Raw genomic sequence first — 23,885 nt, 5'->3', positions numbered from 1 at the left:
AAGAGAAGGGTAAGCCCCATCTGCTTTAAGAAAGCATGCTTTCCAGTTCCCATGCTGAATGTTTGTAGTTGCAGTCTCTGGCTTAAGGTCTGTGCCAGGCCGTGTCAGCACCCACATGAGCAGAACATACATGAGCAGAAGTTTGAACTGTGCTACCAGATCCTATCCCCCTTGCCTTTGAAAAAGCAGCAGGAACCTCTCGTTTTCTAGTTCTGTGTCTGTCCCTGGCTTTTGTCTCTGCTTCTATCACCTCCTTCTCCCTGCTCACACCTGGGAAAGGTAATATGATCTGTCCTGGACCCAGTGTGATTTCAGAGGGTCTCAAGACTACAGATTCGTCCTTCGGCCCTGTGCCCACATTGTCCTCCTAGCAACTGATACCAAGGTATAGGCCATTTTATTCCACAGTTCGTCATCAACCTTAAATGCACAAGGCGGCATGGTGAGGACTTTATTTCACTCCACAGTGTAAGTCCATTTCTGAACAGATGTATCTTGGGAAGATCCCTGACCCATTAGGATAATACAGTATGGAAATGGGAGGCTGATGTGCTAGAGATAACCTTTCACCACTTCCCTGGCAGCCAGTCTGATCTCTGGTAGAGCTATCCACAGTCCAAATGATATTTGTCTCTGTTGCCAGTCCTGGAGGAGGAGGAAGAGGTGTGGTTTTGCCCTTACACTTCTGATACTCTGAGAGACCTTCAAGACCAAGACTGTGGTTATAGTCTCCATATTTCCAGGGCAGCAAGATGTTTGGCACATAGTAGGTGCTTACTAAATGCTTGCCAAATGGAAAAGAGAATGTCATACTTAGAGATGACAGGAGTATAGATTAGGCATGCAAAAGGAAATCCAAGGGCCTGGTTTGCAGTAAAGAAATTCTGAGGCACGTTCCAGAGGACAGATGTTGGCGACAAAGCACCAGCATATAATATTTGTACAATATTATACAAATTGTACAAATTGTATAATATTTACAACTTTATACAATACATTGTATAAAATTTTTATTGTTAAATATTTACAACACAAATATTATAGCAAATTGAATTGAAGTAAACTGAGCAGAATTTAATTCAAGATTCCCACAAAGGCTATTCAAAGATTAAAAAGAAACAAAACAAAATCTTGATTGGCATGCATTTATATTCTTAAATAAGATTCAGCTAAGCAGGTGTGATCACCAATCCAACACCAGCCCCTGTCCTCGTGGGCGCCTGGGTAGCACACGCAGGCCTCACTGCCTAGCCAGAGATGTTAGTGCCATTCTCACTGATGCTGTTAGCAGTCACAAGGTGGAGGCCACCCCGAGCAGGGTGCAGAAAAATGATTGATTAAAGTCCAAGGAGTGTGAGCCACAGGGTTTTGAAAGCAGTCTGTTTCCAGTCACATGATGGAGAGCGGTTTATGTTTTTTTAAAAAACCCTTACTAAATCACCAGAGTTGTGTGATTTTATCAGTTTATGTGAATGCTATTTTCGCCCTTAAAAATTCTCCTTTCGTTGAGGTTAGGATGTTAGAGAGTTTTCATGACACGGCTTTAGAGCATTGTAATGACTCTGCTCTGTTTTTTAAAGTTCTGGCATTCATGTAATGGTTTCCTTTCCTTTTACAGCTGTATTTTCTTTTTCTTTCTTTTTTTTTTTTTTTTTTAAAGACAGAGTCTCACTCTGTTGCCCAGGCTGGAGTGCAGTGGTGTGATCTCGGCTCACTGCAACTTCTGCCTCCTGGGCTCCAGTGATTCTTCTGCCTCAGCCTCCCAAGTAGCTGGGACTACAGGTGTGTGCCACCACACCTGGTTAATTTTTTTGTATTTTTAATATTGATGGGGTTTCGCCATGTTGACCAGGCTGGTCTCAAACTCCCGACCTCAAGTGATCCACCCGCCTCAGCCTCCCAAAGTGCTGGGATTACAGGTGTGAGCCACCTCTCCTGGCCTTACATCTGTATTTTCTAAGCTTTTGTGAGTTTTATTACAATAATAGTTCAAAATATAGAAAATAATGAAGAAAAAACTAGTAATCACCCACATTCCTACCACCTGCTGGTAACAACTTTTGCTATATTTATTTGAAGCATTTGTCTCTTCACAAAAACATGCTTTGACACACTTTTGAGCTAATGTTGAATATTTACATTTTTAATTTGTCTGAAGTGATTTAAGGTATATTCTGTCCTAAAAATTCTTTCTGCTGGCATTTCTGTATACCAACTCCACATGAAATATATATTGTTAATTAAAAAAGAAAAACTGTGCTACATTTCTTGAGATTGTACAGTCATAAACATTTAGACCTGAAAGAAAATCTAGTCTAAAATAGATAAAGAGGCCGGGCATGGTGGCTCATGCCTGTAATCCCAGCACTATGGGAGGCCGAGGCAGGTGGATTACTTGAGGCCAGGAGTTTGAGACCAGCCTGGCCAACATGACAAAACCCTGTCTCTACTAAAAATACAAAAGTTAGCCAACTGTGGTGGTACACACCTGAAACTCCAGCTACTCAGGAAGCTGAGGGAGGAAAATCATTTGAACCTGGGAGGCAGAGTTTGCAGTGAGCCGAGATTGTGCCACTGCACCCCAGCCTGGGCAACAGGGCAAGATTCCATCTCAAAATAAATAAATAAATAAATAAAATAAAATAGAAGGAAACTGAGTCACAAGGAGGTTTAAATGGATGTGGTCAGGGTCACAGAGCAATGCCACGGGAGGACTCAAACCCAGGGTATTTTCTCCTTCAGCCCAGTGCACCATCTGTAATACACGTAATTTCATATCATAAGATGGAAATCTAGAATATATTTCCATGGGGCTGTCCAGTAAAAGTGAATGAGCCTTAAACCCAATAGAGCACTACCTTTAAAGATGTTTAAATAGTACACATTCGCTTAACCTGGGCACACACGCCTGGTTTACTTCTTGAATATGTGATGTCTGTGACACCTGTTGTTTGCTGAGACTCTGTCCAGGTGTTTCAAAAATGTGACCTATGCTTGGCAGCCAGTTGAAAATGTGTTCCTCTAGTTCATGAGCACAGGGAAAGGCCCACTTGTGCCCCTGGGCCTGAGCTGTTTTCGTAAGCTGACATTATGCCAAAAGTCTAGTGATCAGAATTACTGCATGTGCTGTCTCAGTGCCCTCAATGATCAGAATTTGACTGGGTCTGGGCTGCTGTGACTTTGCAGAGATACAAAGGATCTTAATAGATTTCTGTTGCTGCAATAACAGACTATATAAACTTAGCGCTTAAACAGCATCTGTGTATTATCCTACCGTAGTGTAGGTGAGAAGTCTGGTGAGGGTCTCACCAGGCTAAAATCAAGGTATCAGCAAGGCTGTGACCCTTTGTGGAGCTCTAGAGGAAAATTTGTCTCATGCTTACTTGGGCTGTTGGCAGAATTCAGTTCCTTGAGACTGTAGGGCCGAGGTCCCCATTTTCTTGCTGGATACAAACTGAGGTCTATTGCCAGCTTCTAGAGGCCCCCACATTGCTTAAACCTGGCCTCCTTCCTTCATCTTCAAAGCCAGTGGTGATGGCTCAAGTTCTTCACATGTTGCGCCCCTCGGACCCACGCTTCTGCTTTCCTCTCCCACTGAAGGACTGGTGATTGGATTGGGCCACCTAGATAATCCAGGACAATCTCCCATCTGCAGGTCTTCCATCTTAATCATATTTGCAAAGTCCCCTTTTCCATGGAAATGAGTATATTTATAGGTTCTGTGGATTAGGGTGTGGACATCTTTGTGGGGCCTATTATAAAAATGCTCAGAAAGTGCATTAAAAGATTAAAAGGACTAACTCTTCCCGAGGCACTGCTTTCTGATCCTAAAACAAAGCGGAAGGAACTATCTTTTATAGAATACCAGAGACAGTTCTTAAATCTAACCCTCTGCTTATGTGGCTTTGATTAAGTTAATAGACCTTAGCTTTTATCCTTGTAAAATTAGTAGACACAAAATTCTTATGAGGATTGTGTTAGTCTGTTCTCCCACTGCTATAAAGAAATACCTGAGACTGGGTACTTTGTAAAGAAAAGAGGTTTAATTGGCTCACATACAGTTCCACAGGCTATACAGGAAGCATGGTGGCATCTGCTTCTGGGGAGACCTTGGGGAGCTTTTAATCATGGAGGAAGGCAAAGGGGAAGTGGGGCGTCTTACATGGCAGGAGCAGGAGAAGGAGAGAGAGGGAGGGGGCACTACACACTTTTAAACAACCATATCCCTGTGAGACTCACTATCATGACCACAGTACCAGGGCGGATGGTGTTAAACCATGAGAAACCGATCCCATGATGCAATCACTTCCCACGAGGCCCCACCTCCAACACTGGGGGTTACAATTTGATATGAGAATTGGGTGGGGACATAGATCCAAACCATCTCAAGGATCAAGTGATAACATGCTTCAGAGTTTTGAAGCTACATCCGTGTTCATTATTACAGTGGTCATCGGGCCAAGGAGAGTGCTGTCCAGTTGCCTCTGTGCTCCTGTGCCTGGGCGTGAACATCTCAGAATGATCTCACTGTGATTCAGTAGACCCTAGACTGTCACGAAAGGTGACTAGTGGGGCCTGGTCTGGGTGTGCAGGCGAGGTCTGTGTAGGGCTTTGTCTCTGACCAGGCCTCATCATTTTGTTTAGGTGAGAATACATTTCATCCATGACGGATCTCAGACCTACAAGGCTCTGTACTTCTTTCTCCATATATTCCCTAGTACTGTGTACTGAGGAGCCTGTGGGAAGAACCACGTGCTCTATGTACGGGGCCTGACAAGCTGACTATAAGTTGTGTATGGGGACTCAATCATCACTACTCTGAAAGATAGTCTGAACCATTTAACACAGGCATTTGATTCAAAAAGACATCTTTGATTCATCAATAAACAGAGATTCACTATATATCTGGTCACAGAAGAGTGGATCAAGTATTATTCAATATATTTTCAATCCATGGAACAATTTGAGGAAAAATGGGCTTTTAATGTTAGGATGTACAAGGGATCTAATCTTAGACCCCCTTCTCTCTGCCTTCCCCACAAAACCCCCCCTAGGTGATTTCACCCTTTCACACATCTCTGAGCTCTGCCCATTGATATCTCTGTCCTGAAGTTCCTCAATTACTTCAAACTCAACAGGATCCAGATCTAACACAGTTTCTTGCTTCATAAATCTGCTTTTCTTATTTCCTGAGTTGTATACCTCAGTGGATCCAGGAAATCTCAAACTAAAACCATGCTCAATTATTTCCACCCCTGGCCACTCCACATCAGTTCATGCTCCAAGTACTGGCAAGGCTACCTCCTAAATATTTCAGACAGCTCCCTGACCTTAGTGATTTATGTAAGTCACTCAGTATTTCTTCCCCAGACAGTGTTTTGCAATGTCCTTGTGGTTTCCTTCCAGCCTTCTCACTAGTTGTCTTCCTGTCTCTCCCCAGGCAACTATCCACCCTCCATTCTGCCTGCATCTTGTGAACACACAGCTTTGATCATGATATAGCCCTGCCAGAATGCTGCTAATGTTCTTGATTATTGCCCTCAGAGGATTACATCTCACTTGGTTTCAGCCTACCTTTCTGGCATCTAGCTTCACTTTCTAGTATTCTCTTTCCTCCAACCTTTGCCACACTTCAGCCACTCAAGCTTCTGGGCATTACCCAAGGATGCCACTCAGGCCCGTGCCACCAGCTACCCAGAGGACACTTCCTTTTTTCTCTTCTTGTTCGGCTCCTGCTTGCCTTTCAAGACCCAACTAATTTGCCCCTCTTCTGTTACCCTCTTCTGAGTCCACAGGCAGACTTAGTCTCTTCCTCTTCTGTATTTCCATAACACTTCTTGAATACCTTAATTAATTTTTATTGTAATTATTTAGTTATTATCTCATTGCTTCCAGACAGAGAGTTTTATAATAGCTTCATAAATGATTCTTGGTTAGATGGATGGATAGATGTATATGCATATGTATGGTTTTTAAAAAATGTTCTAACCATAACTTGTCAATTTTGAAAGGGTAATGCATTGCAAATATTGTAGTAAAAGGGGAGCAGTATGGCATTATCCTCCTTTTTTTTTAACTGAAGGGCTTTGAATATTACCTAGCCTTGGAAACAAGAGCCCAGGCATTTCGGTCCAATGCTTCTGAGAAAATGTAACAGGTTCAGGGACTTTTTAAAACTAACCATTTTAATTATTGCCTTTCATGAAATGTGATTGTGAGGAAAATTGCATTCTAGGCCCATGATTTCTTTATTTTTTAAAATGCACAACCTATCATTTCTCATTGGAATTTTTAGCTGTTGAACATTTCTACCATTTCTAAATATTTTTTTCTAGTTGTGGTGAGTCATATTAGATTGTGCATTAGATTTTTTCTGAATTATCCAGTTTGCTGAGGGAAATATGGAGACATATTAAAATGTCCCATTGCTAGCATGGAACACCTTGGATCTAGGAGTTTCGAACTCCAGTGTCCTCTTACTGCCTGGGTCAAAGGCCCAGGGACCACCTTCAAGTACCCCTTATGCAACATCTTCCTTTAAGCCACAGCCCTTTAATTTGGTCTTTCTCCTGCCTACAGGACTCCTTCACGATTCTTACTCAGAATTCTTCTCACTCGATATCTCCTCAAGAATCCTTCCCTGATCTCCACCAAAGCCCAGAGAGCTTGCATTGCACTGGGCACCTGCTTAATGTGGCAAATACTTGTTTTCTACTTTTTCTATAAATGAGTTCCTAGAACGTTTATTTACTCCTTAAAGAATACAAATAAAATTAATTTTATGAAATACACATGACCAATACCTTTGCAGACCTCCGTCAGCTTCTCCCTTTCCCAAGTTCATCCCTTCCCTGTGGTAACCATGAATCAAAATGTTTTTTTGATTTTTTTTTCTTTTTCTTTTTTTTCTTTTTGAAACAGAGTTTCATTGGTTGCTCACAGTGGAGCACAGTAGCGTGATCTCAGCTCATGCAACCTCCACCTCCCTGGTTAAAGCAATTCTTGTGCCTCAGCCTCCTGAGTAGCTGGGATTACAGGCATGTGCCACTATGCCCGGCTAAATTTTTTTTTTTTTGTATTTTTAGTAGAAATGGGGTTTTGCCATGTTGGCCAGGCTGGTCTCAAACTCCTGGCATCCGCCCACCTCGGCCTCCCAAAGTGCTGGGATTATAGGCATGAGCCACCATGCCTGGCCATGAATCAAAATGTGCTCAATGTTTGCCTGATTTTCTTTTCTTATTTTGAAAAGCATTCATATTTGTAAAACAATTGTAAAATACAGTACAAAGAATATCATATACCCTTCCTTCAGATCCCCCAAATGTTAACATTTTGCCATACTTAAAATTTAAAAATTATTCATTCTCTCTCTACACATACAAAGAATACTATTTCTTTTTAAACATCTGTGAATAAATTTTAGACATGATGCCCCTTTACTTCAAAATATATTTCCTAAAAGAAATTCTCTTACACAACTATAATATAATGACCAAGATCAAGAAATCAGTATTGATAAGATTATGTAATCCATAAATGTTACTAAGATTTTGACAATTAACCCACTATTGTTTTTTTCTGGTCCAGAATCCAAGGATTCCATTTCATTTAGATGTGCTATCTCTTAAGTTTTCTTTAATCAAGAATAGATTATCTGTCTTTCTTGACCTCGAAATGTTGAAAAATACAGGTCAGTTGCTTTGTAGAGTGGACCTCAGTTTACATCCTCATGGTTGGATTTAAGCTGTCGTATTTTTGGTGGGAATGTCACAGAAGAAATAGGGTGTCCTTAGTACATCGGATCAGGAGGGACATGTCAGTTTGTCCCGTTATTGGTCACTTAGTTAAGAAAGTGTCTGCAGATTGCTCCTCTGTAAAGTTACTAGGTTCCCTTCTGTAACTAGTGATTAACTTGTGGGAGATCTTCTGAGATTCCCCCGCTGCTTTTTATACCTTTGCTATTAATGTTAGCATCTAGTGATGATACTTTCTTGAAACAGTTATTACTGTGGATGGGCATTTAGGTTGTTTTCATATCATTTAGTTTTTGGTTTTTGCTGTTATCAATGATGCTTCTGAGAACAGCCTTTTCCCCATCTCTTGGTGTGCAGGTGCATGGACTTTTCTAGGGGAGCCCTGCTTCAACTTTAGAAATACTGCCAGCTTGTTGTGCAGAGACTATACCACTTTCCACTCTCATAAGCAGTATGAAAGATTTTCCTTTCTACCACATCCTTGACAGTAAACTTGTCAGACTTTTTGATTTTTGCCAGTTTGGTGGTATTATTGGTATTAAATCACTTTTCAAATTTGCATTTCCCTATAAGCAAAGAAAGTAGAGCATCGTTTTATATGTTTATTGGCCACTTTTTTTCCCCATCTGACAATTTTGTGTATACTTGGGAGATTTGCATTCATATTGCAAATGTGTCAAAAATGAATGAGAGAGTTATTAGAAGTTGTTTTGGGCTGGGCGCAGTGGCTCACACCTGTAATCCCAGCAATTTGGGAGGCCAAGATGGGCAGATCACCTGAAGTCAGGAGTTCAAGACCAGCCTGGCCAACATGGAGAAACCCCGTCTCCACTAAAAACACAAAAATCAGCCAGGCGTGGTGGTGGGCGCCTGTAATTCCAGCTACTCGGGAGGCTGAGGCAGGAGAATCGCTTGAACCTGGGAGGCAGAGGTTGCGGTGAGCCAAGATAGTGCCATTGCACTCCAGCCTGGACAACAAGAGCGAAACTCCGTCTCAAAAAAAAAAAAGTTGTCTTGTAGGAGGAAATTTGTTTAATTTATTTAAGTTGCATTTTAAAGTTTCATGAGCATCTCCTCCAAACTATGTTGGTAATTAGGAACAGTATCTTTCCATCATCAAATTTATGGGCTTCATTACTTACTACATAAATGTCCCATACAAAGTTCTCATAATGAGATTCACAACAATAAACACAAACAGATGTCTGCATTTAAGAAAATTCCATGTATACCAACTTTTACCCAAATCTAGGGACAAAAGAGCTATTTAGGCCACACAGTTTCCTGGCCCCAGGCATTTGTTGTGCATATGTTGTTTTGTTTAAATCAAACTGAGTTATACAGTGCATTCTATTTGACTTGTATTGAACACCCTGCCTGAAAGACAGATAGTAATTTCACAGTATCAGAATTTTTCCAGGGACAAATTCTGGTGGTAGTAGATAGTGTTTATGTTAGAAGGTTTTTGTTCTTGTTGACTTTAAGTTTAGATTAACAGTTAAGTTCTACATGTGTGTGAAAATGTGTGGTTAGGAGAGTGATGGAGAAGGAAGATTTGTTTTTACTGTCACAGAGTTGCTACGGGTAAGGTTTGTGACTTGGAGCCAGTTGTGGAGCCCGATTGTATTGATTTTGGCTGGCAAAACTAAACCTTCAGGGAATAGGTGAAAGGGCACCTGCGGAAGTGGAACAGGCAGCTCAGTTTGATCCAATAAGGGAAACTGGCACACAGTGGTTGAGTAACTTGCTCAAGATCACACAATTTTAAATGGTAGATGTAAGACAAGATTACACAATTTTAAATGGTAGGTCTAAGACAAGATTACACAGTTTTAAACGGTAGATCTAGGATTCCAGCTCCAGAGCCCACACTCTTACCTGCTATATTGTAAGCTACTGTGTGTTTGTGTGTGTATGTATGCATGAATATTAGAATATTGTGCATTTTAGGGCACAATGGGGAAAACACATAATTAAGAAAATTGAATATAATGTTATTGAATACAGAATCCAACTTGACTTATGTTCTTTTGCCACCTACTAAATAGAAAAGCAATTTCTCCAGAAGTCCATTATAAATAACTTATTGAAGTGAAAATATTTATCACCTTACAGAACAACTTAAATTCTTTAATGTATGGGTCCCATCTTAGTTATATGGTGAAATTTAAACTGCCAAGTGCCTCCCCAAAAAACTGTGCTGGCTTAATTACACTGATATGATGATTTACCTCTAGGCATTTTCTTAACAATACTGAAGAATGCCAACACTCAAATTGTTATGTCTTGGAGAAGAGACAGAGGAGAAATTAAAGGAGCAAACAGAACAACAACAACAAAAACCTGCGACTCTTCTAGCTTTTGTCCCAACTGCATTAGGATATCAAAGTACAAATCCAAAAGGGCTAAAAACCACTAATATGTGTGATCGTTACAGGAACCTGCTGCAAGTACTCAATGTACAAGGTTCCCCACAAAATAAAACAAAGCTCCAGCCTTGGAGGGGACAGGGTTTTCATGGACAAATCCTTGAATTTCTCTTTTTCCCACATTTCTCTCACTTCCTTAATGACATATTTTTAGCAAATAAAAATTAGGTTAAAATAAACACTAAGGGCAGTTTTGAAGGGGGACATAATCATAAATGGGCCTCCTGGGTGGGTAGAACCATAGACTGGGCTGTGGAGGCAGAGGTGACTGCTAAGCTTCAGTGAAAATGACAGAGTTGTCAACTGATTATTTTCCCACTGTTTAACCAACCGTCTGTTACCTGCCAGGTTCTCTGATGGACACCCAATATACTGGGTTCTGTTTGTTTTTTGTTTGTTTGTTATGTAATTGAACCGATTATTTACTGAAATGTCCTTGGGACATGGGCTCAATTTATTATATAATGCACATGGAAATGTGGTTTTGGATAAGGGAAACACACTGGTAAGTGACATACTGTTAAACAGGGCAGCGATGGTCCCTCTCACATTGGTTGTTCTGCAGGAGGCAAAGCTCTCCAGCTCCTCCTGCCTTTAGCAAACTCCCTTGATTGTTGTCAACTGGCCCCCAAAGTGTAGCTCCTGAAACCAAATGCTGATTTGTTATATCTTTGCAGATGTTCTCAAAACCAATGTATATAAACAATATCCTATGTCACATATGCACTCTATCACATTTATGAATTTTCTTTCACACAAATGCAAGAAGTAAGAGAGGGCATGTGTGTGTGTGTGTGAAACCCAACATCCTTGGGAATCTAAACCAGTTCCATTTTTCTTACTAAGAGGACATGCTCTAGTGTGTGTAGAAATTGGATTTCTGAAGGTGAAGATTGTTCTAACTGGTGGCAAGTGTTGTTTCATTCTTCTTGTGTTGAGTTGCTTGCAACGCATTTTTAGAAAATTGCATCATCTCATGATTGCCATTAAATTGACAAACTGTCCCTTAGAATCTTAAAATAGCTACCTCTATTCAGAGGGAAGAAATTTTTTAGAATACGTCATAGCAATCAATGTCACTTTTGTTCTCACAAATAATAATGTATGATTTTTTTAGAGAACAATCATAATACACAAAATATAGGGAAGAGTTGCTCTTCAAATATATGTTGCTAGGTTAAGTTTGGCAGAAAACAGACTCTTTGCTTCATGGTTAGCTCATTATTCCTCTACTGCTTCACCAGTGTGTTCACCACATTTTATGCTAGTCTTTGCTGTGACTCATCTATTCTGCTCTATAGACTATATTGACAGCAGATGAACATTAATATGTGTATTATTCTCCACAAAATGTCAAGGACATACAGTTATAATAGGTACGATGCCCTTTAGAAAATGTTATCTATATAACATTTATATATATATATACTTTAATATCAATTTCAAGACTATTCACTTATGAACCATTACTAATGTGAGTGTTCTAGATGGGAAAGAAAACTAACATTAAACTCTTGGCAGTTTCAAGTTATGAAAACTCATAGAGGAAAGTGTTCTGTCTACAAAGACAAATAGGTATATGTTGGGATGTATCTCTGACTCCAAGCTAGATTCATCAGGAATTAACACTCAGGAACAACATATAGATCACAAATATGTTTGCAATTTACACCCATGTATTAAGGGGTTCAGCTTGTTGGTTCAGCTTTGTCAATTGGTCACATAGCTTGACAGAAAGCATGGGAATTTGCCTTACTTCTACTTAAATTTTGGCGTCTGATTTTTAACTTAAGAATCATGAAATCAGTAGACCATGCTTTGTATAATGAGAACCGAACATTAAAAACTCCCAATCTTTTTGTTCACCCTCACATTCCAGTCTGATACCAAAGCCAGAGTGAAGGGCAGTGTTTGCAAAGGAGCTTCCAGTGAAGACGGAATAAACCCTCTGCTTCAGAATGAAAGATTTGCCATCAGAGAAATGAGGAGCAGACCACTGCATTTTAGAGAAAATAGTAGGCATTGAGCAGCGGGAACCAGATGGAAGCCAGGAAGGAGTAGATGCCAGGAGCACCAGAAATGGGTAGAAAGAAGAAAACCAGGCAGGAGCATAGGACACCAAAGTAGGGTTGGCTTGAGGATTTGTATCTTAGCCAGGAAAAAAAAAAAAAAAAGATTAAACCACACTCTCTTGAGCTTTGAAGTTGCCAATCCTCAAATTCACAGTTGTCTACTTTTTAGTTAACCATGAGAGTCTGTTTCAGATCTTGGAAACCCAGACCATGTATTTAGTTGGGGAGTGTGGTATTTCTCCATATCTGTTCAGGAAACGAACACATCATGTGGTCAGGGTGACAGCCTTTACTCATTCAAGATCCCACACAGGATAGCGGGGGTCCTGAAGATGTGGGGGGCTACGCACAGAGAACCTGAGGACCAAATGCTAGATGATTGGTCTCCACTGCGACCCAACCCATGAGGCTGTTTTCTGCCTTACACAATTGCTGAAGAGTTTGTAACAATTCAAAAATAAAGGTTTAGAAAATGTTCAGCCATTCAAAAAGATTGTTGCTAGTTGGTAACAGGGCTATATAGTTCTAGGCCTTTCCAAGATGTCATGTAAAAAAAATCTATATATGTATACATACACATATTATATATACACATATATACATATATACACATATATAACTATATACACATATATAACGATATACATATGTATATACACATATATAATGATATACATATGTATATACACATATATAACGATATACATATGTATATACACATACATATATGCATATATATCTGTATATATATTTACATGACATCTTAGGTGTATATATGTACATATACACATATGTGTATGTGTATATATATATATTTACATGAAATCTTGGAAAGGCCTAGGAACCTCTCCACCTTATATATTATATATATATAATATTACATATATATTATATATATATAATATTACATATATATTATATATATAATATTACATATATATTATATATATATAATATTACATATATATTATATATATATAATATTACATATATATTATATATATATAATATTACATATATATTATATATATATAATATTACATATATATTATATATATATGTTTACATGGTATCTTATAAAGGCCTAGAACCTCTCCACCTTTATCTGCAACTTGTTGCCTTCTGTGAAATCAACTGAATGTTCTGTCCTAGGAAGAGAGCAATAGTTAGGATGCGATGCACGTTACGCATATCACTCGGCCCCTATTTCAGTCCTGCAAGGAATGGCAGCTCATTCCATACCTACCCCTGGGTTAGCGTTTCTCCCTTCAAACTGTTAAGAAATAGAAAGGAACCATTTAGTCCCATAGTTGGTACAATACACAGAGTAGAATACAGGAGACTACAGACATGGTTGATAATAAAGCTTATTTTTAAAAAAGTTTCTTGATGTACTGTACTATAAAAATGTATGAATACTGCATTCGCAAAGTGAGTCGTCACATTGGTATAATATTCCTTAATGCCCTTTTTGTTATTGAAAATTCAGTCAAGCAGGAGTTGTGGGACACCTAGGGGGCCGTTCTGCCATTACTGTGAATTCATGTTTTTCCAGGAGAGTTACTGATTTGGAGAGGCAGGGAATGGGGGCTGGCAACCAGACAGTGGCCTCTGTTTCTCTGTTGGCAGGGATAATGAAGAACAGATGAAATTATAAATAGAATTATAGCCCAGACCAGGATTACTTGGATAACTCAGTCAACACAAGGTTTTGTTTGATTGAATTTTCTAGATGATTTCATCAATGATTAACCTAACTACGTTAGTGGAGATCTAAAAGGACAGCCAGCTTAAACATATTCAGCAAGGCCAGCATTTCCTTTTTGCTTTTTTTTTTTTTTTGGAACAGTAGGCATATCTTCAGTTATTGGCTTCTTTGGCTAGACAGTTCTATCCACATTTTTTTTTTGACAAAGCAGAAAAAATTACTAAGGGATTCAGTTAAAAAATCTACAAGAAAATGGGCAAGCTGGAGAAGGATGTATGTTGAAAAATTATCTTAGATGCTTTACCCAAATGGCATACCAGGTCAAACTGCTGAATCAACCAATCAATCAGTCAGTCTCTCTTGGTCTCTTTCAGGCTTGCTCTTGCTCTCTCTCTCTCTCTCTCTCTCTCAATCTCTGTCTGTCTCTTTCTCTCTTTGCCTTTCTCTAGTGTGTCAATTTTATTTCTATTTCTCTCCTTATAATGTGTAATTCTTTACATGAACAGTGGGATGTGCTCCTGCCTCTAAGCTGTCTTCAAAAATAAAAATTGGTGGGTTAATTCCATCCCTAGTTGATCTTTGGACTTACGCTGGTAATACATAACTTTGACCTGAAGCTGTACGAGATGACCTTCTTCACTCTTGCTATTTCCTAAAAATAAAAGTACTGAATAATAGATCAAATTAGATCAGATTAGGAAATCCTCTCAAAAGTTTTTTTTTTTTTTTGGTTTAATTTTATTCAGTTTCATCTTGAGTTTACAACACTTAAAAATATAAGAGGCTTGAGTTTACAACACTTAAAAATATAAGAGGCGGCCGGGCGCAGTGGCTCATGCCTGTAATCCCAGCACTTTGGGAGGCCAAAGCGGGTGGATCACCTGAGGTCAGGAGTTTGAGACCAGCCTGGCCAACATGGCGAAACCCCGTACCTACTAAAAATACAAAATACAAAATAAAAATTCAAAAATTAGCCAGGCATGGTGGTGCCCACCTATAGTCACAGCTACTCGGGAGGCCAAGGCAAGAGAATCGCTTGAACACGGGAGGCGGAGGTTGCAGTGAGCCGAAATTTCACCACTGCACTCCAGCCTGAGTGACAGAGTGAGACCCTGTCTCAAAAAAAAAATTATGTCTATATATATACACATATATCTATGTGCACATAGATATATGTATCTATGTATCTATGTGCACATAGATATATGTATCTATGTGCACATAGATATATGTATCTATGTGCACATAGATATATGTATCTATGTGCACATAGATATATGTATCTATGTGCATATAGATATATGTATCTATGTGCATATAGATATATACATATATATGTATACACATATATAAGAGGAATTGCTATTTGAGAAAGAATGTGCACATAGATAATATCACCTCCAGATTTTTAATAAGATACTTGCCTTCTTACTCATATAAGAACATCATAATATTTCCTTTTTGTCAAAAACTTTTAAACAAATACCAATTACAATACATTATTAAAAGTGACACTTGTTTTGAACATAAAATCTAAATTTTCTATATGATATAAAAGGTCAGATAAAAACAGAAACTTTTGACATCTAAGCCAACTGTTTTATTTGTCATTTCTCTTTACATATGTGATATGAATAAGGTCATTGTAAGACATTTACAAAGCAAATGAAATGCTAGTGACAAACCTGCTCACCAGACCTGTTAAAGCTACCTGACTCTAGATGAAGTGGCCATAATAGAGCAGCACATTAACAGAAATAGGAAATAGTACATAAACAATTTGTGAAGAATTTTAGCACATGCTATCCCATTTAGGCCTAGCAAAAACTCTGTGATGGGGGAAACTGAAGCTTAGAGAGTTTGAATGAAATTTCCAGCTAAAATGGTCTTATTTTAGCTGATTTTTTTAAAGGTAGTAACATTTTATTTTATTTAGTTGACATTTTGACATTCCCCCTCTAACTTTAATACCCTTACCAAATGTAAAGGTAAATACAATCTTTAAAAAGAAATTAGAAAGAAATACAATGCCTATAATCAGGACACACATCTCATGTACTAGAAATGAAACGGCAACACAAAGCCATAAGGAGCACTGAAGAAAGAAATAGCGCGTCTAGAAGCAGACTGGGGTATTGATTGCAATGGAGCTCCACTGCTCTTGAAAAGGCCTGAAAAAAGTTCTGCCCCATTCCCAAGAGCCTCGTTTCTAAAACACAGCCTCTCAGCCATGGCCGAGCTGCCTGCTGGCCTGGGTTTCAGGTATTTCCTATCAGTATGTGATGGGCCCGCCTGGTTGGTGGAGAGTGGGGAGGCACAGACTCCAACTCCAGATTAGTCTACAGTCTAAAACCCCAGAACATATGAGGAAAACATATGCTAAGGAAAGTACCCAGTCAGATCAACGTTCCAAAGATGAACTTGGTCCTGATTACATGGAAATAATAAAGCAATCTGGAAAAGGCTTCTTTAAAAGCATGGTAAAATCCTGCCATCTTAGAACGTAGTGCTCTCATAAAAGTTCAGTCACCTAAACTGCAAAGTTGCTTTATTCTAAGAGTAATGAAATTTATTTTGACTATCTTCCAGCTTCTGTGGAAAGAATACAAGGAAAAGTGTTTTTTATGTTTATACTTTCATGTATTGGCTATATTAGTAAGTTAAAAAAAAACAGACTGCTATTACAAACTTTGTAACATGCACTAAATTCACAAAATCTTAAATGACCATAAAGTGGTCACTTCCAAACTGCACCCCCATCCTCCTGTTCCCAGGAGCGAAAAGAATTTTATTCAGCCTTCAGATGAGAACAGGCAGATGATAGAGGTCAGTCACCAATTACATTATAACCACATTCAAATATTTGGGACCTCCCATAACATAGTTTATTTTAGATTTTTCAAGAGGTAAAGAATGAATTAGTGTCCATAAAAATATTAACAAAAAAGAACACAGAGATATTTTTAACGACCAATTAGAAATCATGCAAATGAAAATTAGATCCCCTGAAATTAAGGAATAACCTTCACACTGGACCTGGTTTATGAGAGAACTAATGTATTAAAAATGGTACTGAATTCACACAGAACAAAGTTCAGAGAAATTAGGAGATTAAAAGTAAGAAAAAGAAAAATATATAAATTTAGCCATATTAAAACTAAGCGGAGAAATAAATATTGAGCTTCTAAACTTGCAGAAGAGAAAAGCAAAGAATTTAAAACATATTATTCCAATCAAACACATATGGGGAAAAAAAAGACACAAATAAAAGGCATGATTAGTAGACATTTCAAACTAAAATTTTAGAGATTAATCTAATTATATCAATAATTAATCACAATAAATGTAAGATGACTAATCTCATCCAATACAAAGCAGTGGGTATTCTTATACTGATATTATCATATCTTAGTATATTATAGCACCTTTTATTTTAAATTCTCTATTTTTATAAGGAAATTTCCTTCTACTTCATTAGAACTTTTCAGCAACTAAGCTTTCTCTCAACACAGAAACACCCAAAATCCTATTTCAAAAATTTTTCATTGTCTCCAAAGGATATATAAAAAACCTTTTAGTTTACCATGGTACCCAGTAACTCTAGAAAACAGATGATATCATCAAAAATTCCCAGAGGCAAAATGTGGCTTTAAAAATCCACATTGATTTGGGGACTTTTGATTCAGCTAAAGGCATTTTGTTTCTGATGAGTTTTTAACCTGTATTTCTTAAAAAAAAAAACAAAAAAAAAAAAACAATATATTCAGACTTCTGGGGATTTTTTGAATACATTTTTGAATTTCTAAATCATGGCTGTGGTCTAAGTAGCAGTTTACTAAAGGACACAGGAAAGAGATAGAATAAAAATATGAAAGGCTCTTAAATGCTTGGAAAGCCCTATATTTCTTGAGTTACTTATCTACTTTTTGTCACTTACTATTGCCTCCTTCTCTCTCTGTCACTCACACACACACACACGCACACCCCAGAGCCCATGATGGATTTTCTGTGTCAATTCTATGACACTGCCAATAGCCTTGCAGAGCTGGTGGTTGAACTGAAGAGAACCAAAAGGAATTGTAAATACCTGTTTCAAAAACTGGCAGTAAGCACTGCACATGTAGGATGCCTTCACTCAAGCCTGTTCTTAAGTAAAGTCAAGTGCAGATAGAGTACATTGCCCCACACTGAGCACAGGAAGCCCTGAGAGGTTATTATCTAGGGAATGCGAGAATCTAGGTTGGTTGGTTGATTAACATGCCTCAGCTCTCCACTTCACTTTGGTTGGAGTGATCTGACCTACATCATTTCATTCACTTCAGAATCATGAACTTTCTGCTCATGATCTTAGCAGTTAAGAGAAACACCAGTTAATAAATGGGATTTAACTAAACTTGTGGAGCCATTTCTGAGACATAGTACTTTCGGATACTGTGAACCTTGACGTACATTTCACAGCTGCACACTTAACTATACAAGCACCAGTGGATGTACTTTTGAGTGATCAGGGACCTTTATAGTCAGGAGATTTTGATGATGCTTGTCATCCAATAGGTAAGTGATTACTTTCCTATAGGGTACTGAAAATTTTATATACTAACTGGCAGTAAAAGGGAATGTGGTTTGATTTTAACAAAGAAATGATTTGTGCAATCTCCCTGATGTGAACTAACTCAAAGGACTAATCAGGACTCACTGATTAATCTGACTCAAGATTAATCTGCAGACTAAAGTTCCAGGAAATATGAGGAAAATGAATACTAAGAAAAGTACCCAGTTAAATTAATGTTCAAAAGAGGAATTTGGTCCTGATTACAGGGAAATAACAAAGCACTCTGGAAAAGACTTCTTTAAAAGTATAGTAACACCCTGCCATCATAGCGAAGTGGTAATCTAATAGAAGCTCAATTATTTAATACATAAGCTAAAACTAAATGTTTTAATATGGAACTAAGGCTTATGAATATTAGCCTCTGTGGCATTAAACAACTAATAGGACCTTCCTGGGCTTTAATTTTCTTTTTTGTACAAATGGGAATAAAAATCATACCTATTTTATAGTTTTTGTAAAGATTAGTTTGTTTAAACAGCAAGTAATGTTTAGGATTGTATCTATTATACAACATAATTGTTAACCATTATTATTATTATGAGTTATGTGCATCAAATGAGATAAATGCTTTGCAACTTGTAAATGCCTTGCTAACTCTAGGGAGCTATATGTTAATAATCTCTTTTGGACTATCTGATGGAGAAGCCAATTTCTATTGGCACTACAATTTTTTAAAAGCTGGTTATAAAACTGAAAAAGCAAGCACTATACAAGTATATTAAAGAATTTGGGAATTGTCTTCATCCTATTTTGAAAGTAAAGTAGAGGCGGATGGAATTTAGTACAAAATTATTACTGAAATAAAATGAACTTGGAAGCATGCTCTGGATGATTGATGTATTGTCCCTAATTGACATGCATGCCTGCAAATGCTTTTTAAACCTCCTTATTTAACAAAGAGGTAATTCAGGGTACGTTCAGCTTTTGGTTCGTGTGAAAGGAGCATATGCGATTACTGTTCATTTCAGTCTGGTCCAGAGCAGAGGTTAAAACCTCTGAGCAAAGAGCCGTTAAGCTACCAACTCAGTGGAACTGATGGCAAGTCTAAGTGTCTGGGCCTCAAGTTTCCCTTAGCATAGCCAGAGGAAATATTTTCACCCTGCTTATGGATTTCAAATTCTGAATGAGTGGGGCCTCATTCTGAGAAATCTGGAGACATGATATGCATAATACTGAATTATTATTGATAATAATAATATTGGGCAAAGCCATTTTCAAGTCCTACTCTCTGCTGAATGAATTTAGAAGGCTTATTTTTCTTCTTCCCGACAGTACATGTGAGCTCGTTTTTAATTCAGTTGCGTATGTGCATTGAGCTTGCCCTGATGATGTTCTCGTTGGGGCATGTCCCACAGAGCAGCTCAGGTCGTTTTGACTCTGGGTACTTCGGCTTACGCTGTAGCTAAGGGCAGCTAGACCGTTCTTGCAGAGCCTAACATTTTGGGTGCCATTTTATAATGCCTGTGGCAATTTGCATATTGACGTGGCCTCCCTGCTGGAAGCCAGATGTCCCTGCAAGCCCCAACGTCTTCCTTTCATTCAACTGCACCCAACTCTGGACTTGACTTGGTTGATTTTCTTTGCTAAAGTTCAGAGTCTTTACTGTTTAAAAATCAGGATTAAATAGATGCATTTCAGTTTCGAAGGTATTATTTGCAGTAAAACTGCCAACATAAACATTTTATAAGAAAGCCATGTATGTCCTGAAGTCATAACTGCAGGCCTCTCTTTACCTTCACATTGGCTGGTGGCATTGATGTCAATATTCAACACTCTAAGAGTTAATTTAATTTGAATTTCATTTCTTCTTTAAAGTAACTTGATCTTGCAACCTCTTTTCTCTCTGGCTATGGAAAGAGTCACTTTAGGAAGCTGAAACTTCCAGCATGAATACTTCTAGCAGGTTTATTTGTGTGGCAAATATGTGCTTCTATCTCATTTTTTCTTTGTACCTGTGACTTATCTACCTACCTGAAAAGCCGTAAGTCCTTTCTGGCAACTACTGCGACATTGCCTCTTTTTCCTTTTTGTAATCATCTTCATTGGCGTGAAATCTTCTTTGAACTGATCATTTGGCAACACTTGCTTGCTGTGAAAGAACTTTGACTATATACATATGCTATGATAGATATCATATCAATATTTTCCATCACTACTTTTGCTTTGTCAGAAAACTCATGACTTGTTGTGAGTCAGAATGTGTCACAGCCAAGCTGTCTTCCAAACCTTGAAATATTTTACTATATTTTCCCTTCGAAGTATTTGACTCATCAGCTGAGAAGATATCAGGCCTTTTACCTACGTTTGGTTTGATTTAGAACCATGAAGATGATGGGATCAGTATGTCCTTGCTGTGCCGTTTAGCTTCTTAGCTGACCCATTTGATAGAGGCTGAATGCTTCCTTGGAAAAGTTTTGCAGGATTTATCTTGTTTCTCATTCTGCATTAGTTGATGTCTGTCTTTGAAAAAAAATTTTGATTTGCTTTTCTGTATTTCTTTTTCAACTTTTAATCTATATTCCCAACTCTAATTCATTCTGTAATAATGTTAACCCCCAAAATTGTATGAACTGTCTTATTTGAATCAAAAGATGAAGTGCCTGAACTGATCTTACGTTCCCTTTCCCAGTGTCCCTTCCCTTTCTCAAAGTCTGCTCTTCTAAAAGAAACTGATGTCAGCTAGGGTACCAGTGACTGATACCTTGGAGGCATTTTATCTAAGATACACACAAAGCAAATGCCTCTAAGGTATCAGTTTACCAGGCCAGGAGACAGAATTTTATATTTTCCTCTAGGTTGTCTAGGGGACAATATAAGATTCTGTCCCCTGGCCTGGCAAATTAATTGCATTCACCTCCCCAGTTCTTCATACTTCTCTCTATCCAGGCCCTTTGGGGGTGCCCTCCCACACTGAGTTTAGGCTTCTTGTTAAAATTTGCTTTGGCCCATGAGACACTAATAAACTAAACACAGCAAGGCTTAAAAGGTTCTTGACTGCCTCTTCTTCCTCTCTTGATCCTCTGCCATTGCCATAGGAAAATGCCTGGCTTGGTTGCTGGCAGATGAGATTTAAGGAAAAGAGCTGAATCTACCTGGTTATTCTAGCCAAGGCCCCACACACCCTCAGAACTGCCTAGTGGACCTGCAGCTGACTGCAGATGCATGAGTAAAGCCCCAGCCAATGCCAGAAGAACTGCCCAGACAACCTTTAGGCTCCTTAGCCACATGAAAAAATGGCTGCATTTTTTTCTATGCCCCTGAGTGTTTGGGGCAGTTTGTTACTCAGTTAACGGTTAACCAGTACAACTCTTAAAGAAATCTAATCCCTCAACTATGCAGGAGGGCAACACAAAGACTCTTGTTAGTCTCTCTGATCACATCCACATCAGCCTGCATGACTTGACCATATCATTAAATAAAGAGTAGGACTCCAGCGTACTATTGAGTCAAAATGAACATCTATAAACAAGTCTTTCCAGTGGCCAGTTTCAGTTCATTGCTTTGGAGAGTTTTCTCTTTGTAAGCAAACTCTGAATACAGTTTTCATGTTTTTGTTGTTGTTTTCTTTTTTCTTTCTTTTTTTTTTTTTGCCTTAGGGCTTGCCTTTGTCATTGTTCCCTTCAACTGCATTTCTGCATTTCTTCTCTGCAGACGACATTCTGCTAACCTTGCCAAGAGCCACCCAGGTGAAATGAGATTTGTAGGGAGACACTCAGGGAGATTAACAGATCTTTTTGCATGAAGAATAATTGCAAAAGTAATCTCTTATTTGATTGAAGCTAATAAGTGGACATAGTGGATATTATGGTCTTCTTTTTTGAAGTCTTACTAATTTAGAAATTCGGCTGAGTATTTTAATGTTCAGAGAGCTTCCCTTCTTAAGGTTTTACTGTTATAGAACTTAATATCACCTATTTTTTAATATTTTGATTCAGTGATTGATTTTCTTGGTAGGTAGAATATTACATCTTAGCGAAAAATTAAATACTCTTCTGTAGTTGGAAACTTTTTGTGAAGACATAAAATTTTAACCACTTAAACCTAATCTGTGACCCCCTTACTTAGGCGTCGACCCTGGTTTTTCAAGCATCTCTCCCTAGAGGGCGGTATAGCCTCACTTCATGATGTGGTCTTTCCAATGTTGGCTGCTGGCCCCATATCACCTGAGGCTGAAGTCCTTTAGATTACAAGATTGGAATATTTTTAGTAAATCTATCACCAGTAGAGCCTTCATCTTAACATGATAAATGTACAACTCACTGGACGTATTTGGCTTGAGATTTATGGCAAATCAGACACAGCTTATGAGAGGTGGAAACGGTGCTTGTTTAACATAACTGTGGCTGTTTGTTCAGGTCAATCCTAGTCTATCTTTGTGTCGACACATAGTAACCTGTGGGATATTATGGGCAGATAGTGGAGCATTGGATAGAGTACTAAGGACGATTCAGTGGACCTGTGCTCTCATTTTGGATATGTCATTACAGGTAGTACTTGCCCCACTTGGACTTTGGTTTCCTTATTTGTAAGATGAGACAGCCAGTCTCAATATTTTTTTCACAATCCCAGCAACTCTGTGATTTATGGTCTTTGGTACATAACAGTAGTTCTGTACAGTTTGGTAGAGGAAGTGATACCAGTGCTCCCAACTGCCAATTCAAAGGAAATGTAGGTAGTTACCCAGTGATATTTTGGTTAGCCTACAGAAGATATTTTAAATTCTGAGGAAAAGAAAATGCCAGCTGATCACTGAAACCCATAAATGCTAAATAAATAGTTTTTGTGTATCTTCTTAAAACATGAATATTCTTACAAAGTCAGCATAAAGTGTTGATATAAGACTGCCTCAGAAGAAAAAGTGTCCACTACTCACAATCTAGCACCATGCATAACAAAGAGTCTTCACTCAAGAAATGTTTGTGAATTCTCGGCAGGGCACAGTGACCCATGCCTGTAGTCCTAGCTACTCTGGAGGTTGAGGAGAGAGGATCAGTTGAGCCCAGGAATTTGAGTCCACCCTGGGCAACATAGCAAGACCTCATCTCTAAAGAAATAAAAAGTTTATGAATGAATGACAAGAAGACTAATCCCATGTTTGGTACAGCTTTTACTTCTAAAATACTCTTCAATATACTGAGTCAGGATTGATGCTCATGAACTTCCAGCCATGGCTTTAACTCTACTCCTTTGGGTGACATTTGAGCATATTGGATCTGCTATGCGTGGAAAGTCACTTTACTTTTATTTGCCCCCACTCCATTGAAAAAAAAAAATTAGATGATAGCAGCATTTCTTAAAGAACAGAATGCA

The 23,885-nt window shown here is 38.4% G+C and overlaps 1 protein-coding gene and 1 non-coding gene across 7 annotated transcripts in view; both read left to right on the top strand.

Moving 5' to 3' along the window:
• The window catches only part of DOCK10 (dedicator of cytokinesis 10), a 277,379-nt gene that overhangs the window by 10,666 nt on the left and 242,828 nt on the right, over window positions 1-23,885 (top strand). The gene's annotated exons all lie outside the window — the stretch shown is intronic.
• MIR4439 (microRNA 4439) lies at window positions 21,263-21,342 on the top strand. The gene has a single exon (NR_039641.1). It is a non-coding gene; the product is annotated as a microRNA 4439 (primary transcript).

The sequence above is a fragment of the Homo sapiens genome, chromosome 2, assembly GCF_000001405.40.
Source record: "Homo sapiens chromosome 2, GRCh38.p14 Primary Assembly".
Classification (NCBI taxonomy): domain Eukaryota; kingdom Metazoa; phylum Chordata; class Mammalia; order Primates; family Hominidae; genus Homo; species Homo sapiens.
Note: the sequence above shows the minus strand (reverse complement) of the source record. Positions and strands in the feature narration are given on the sequence as shown.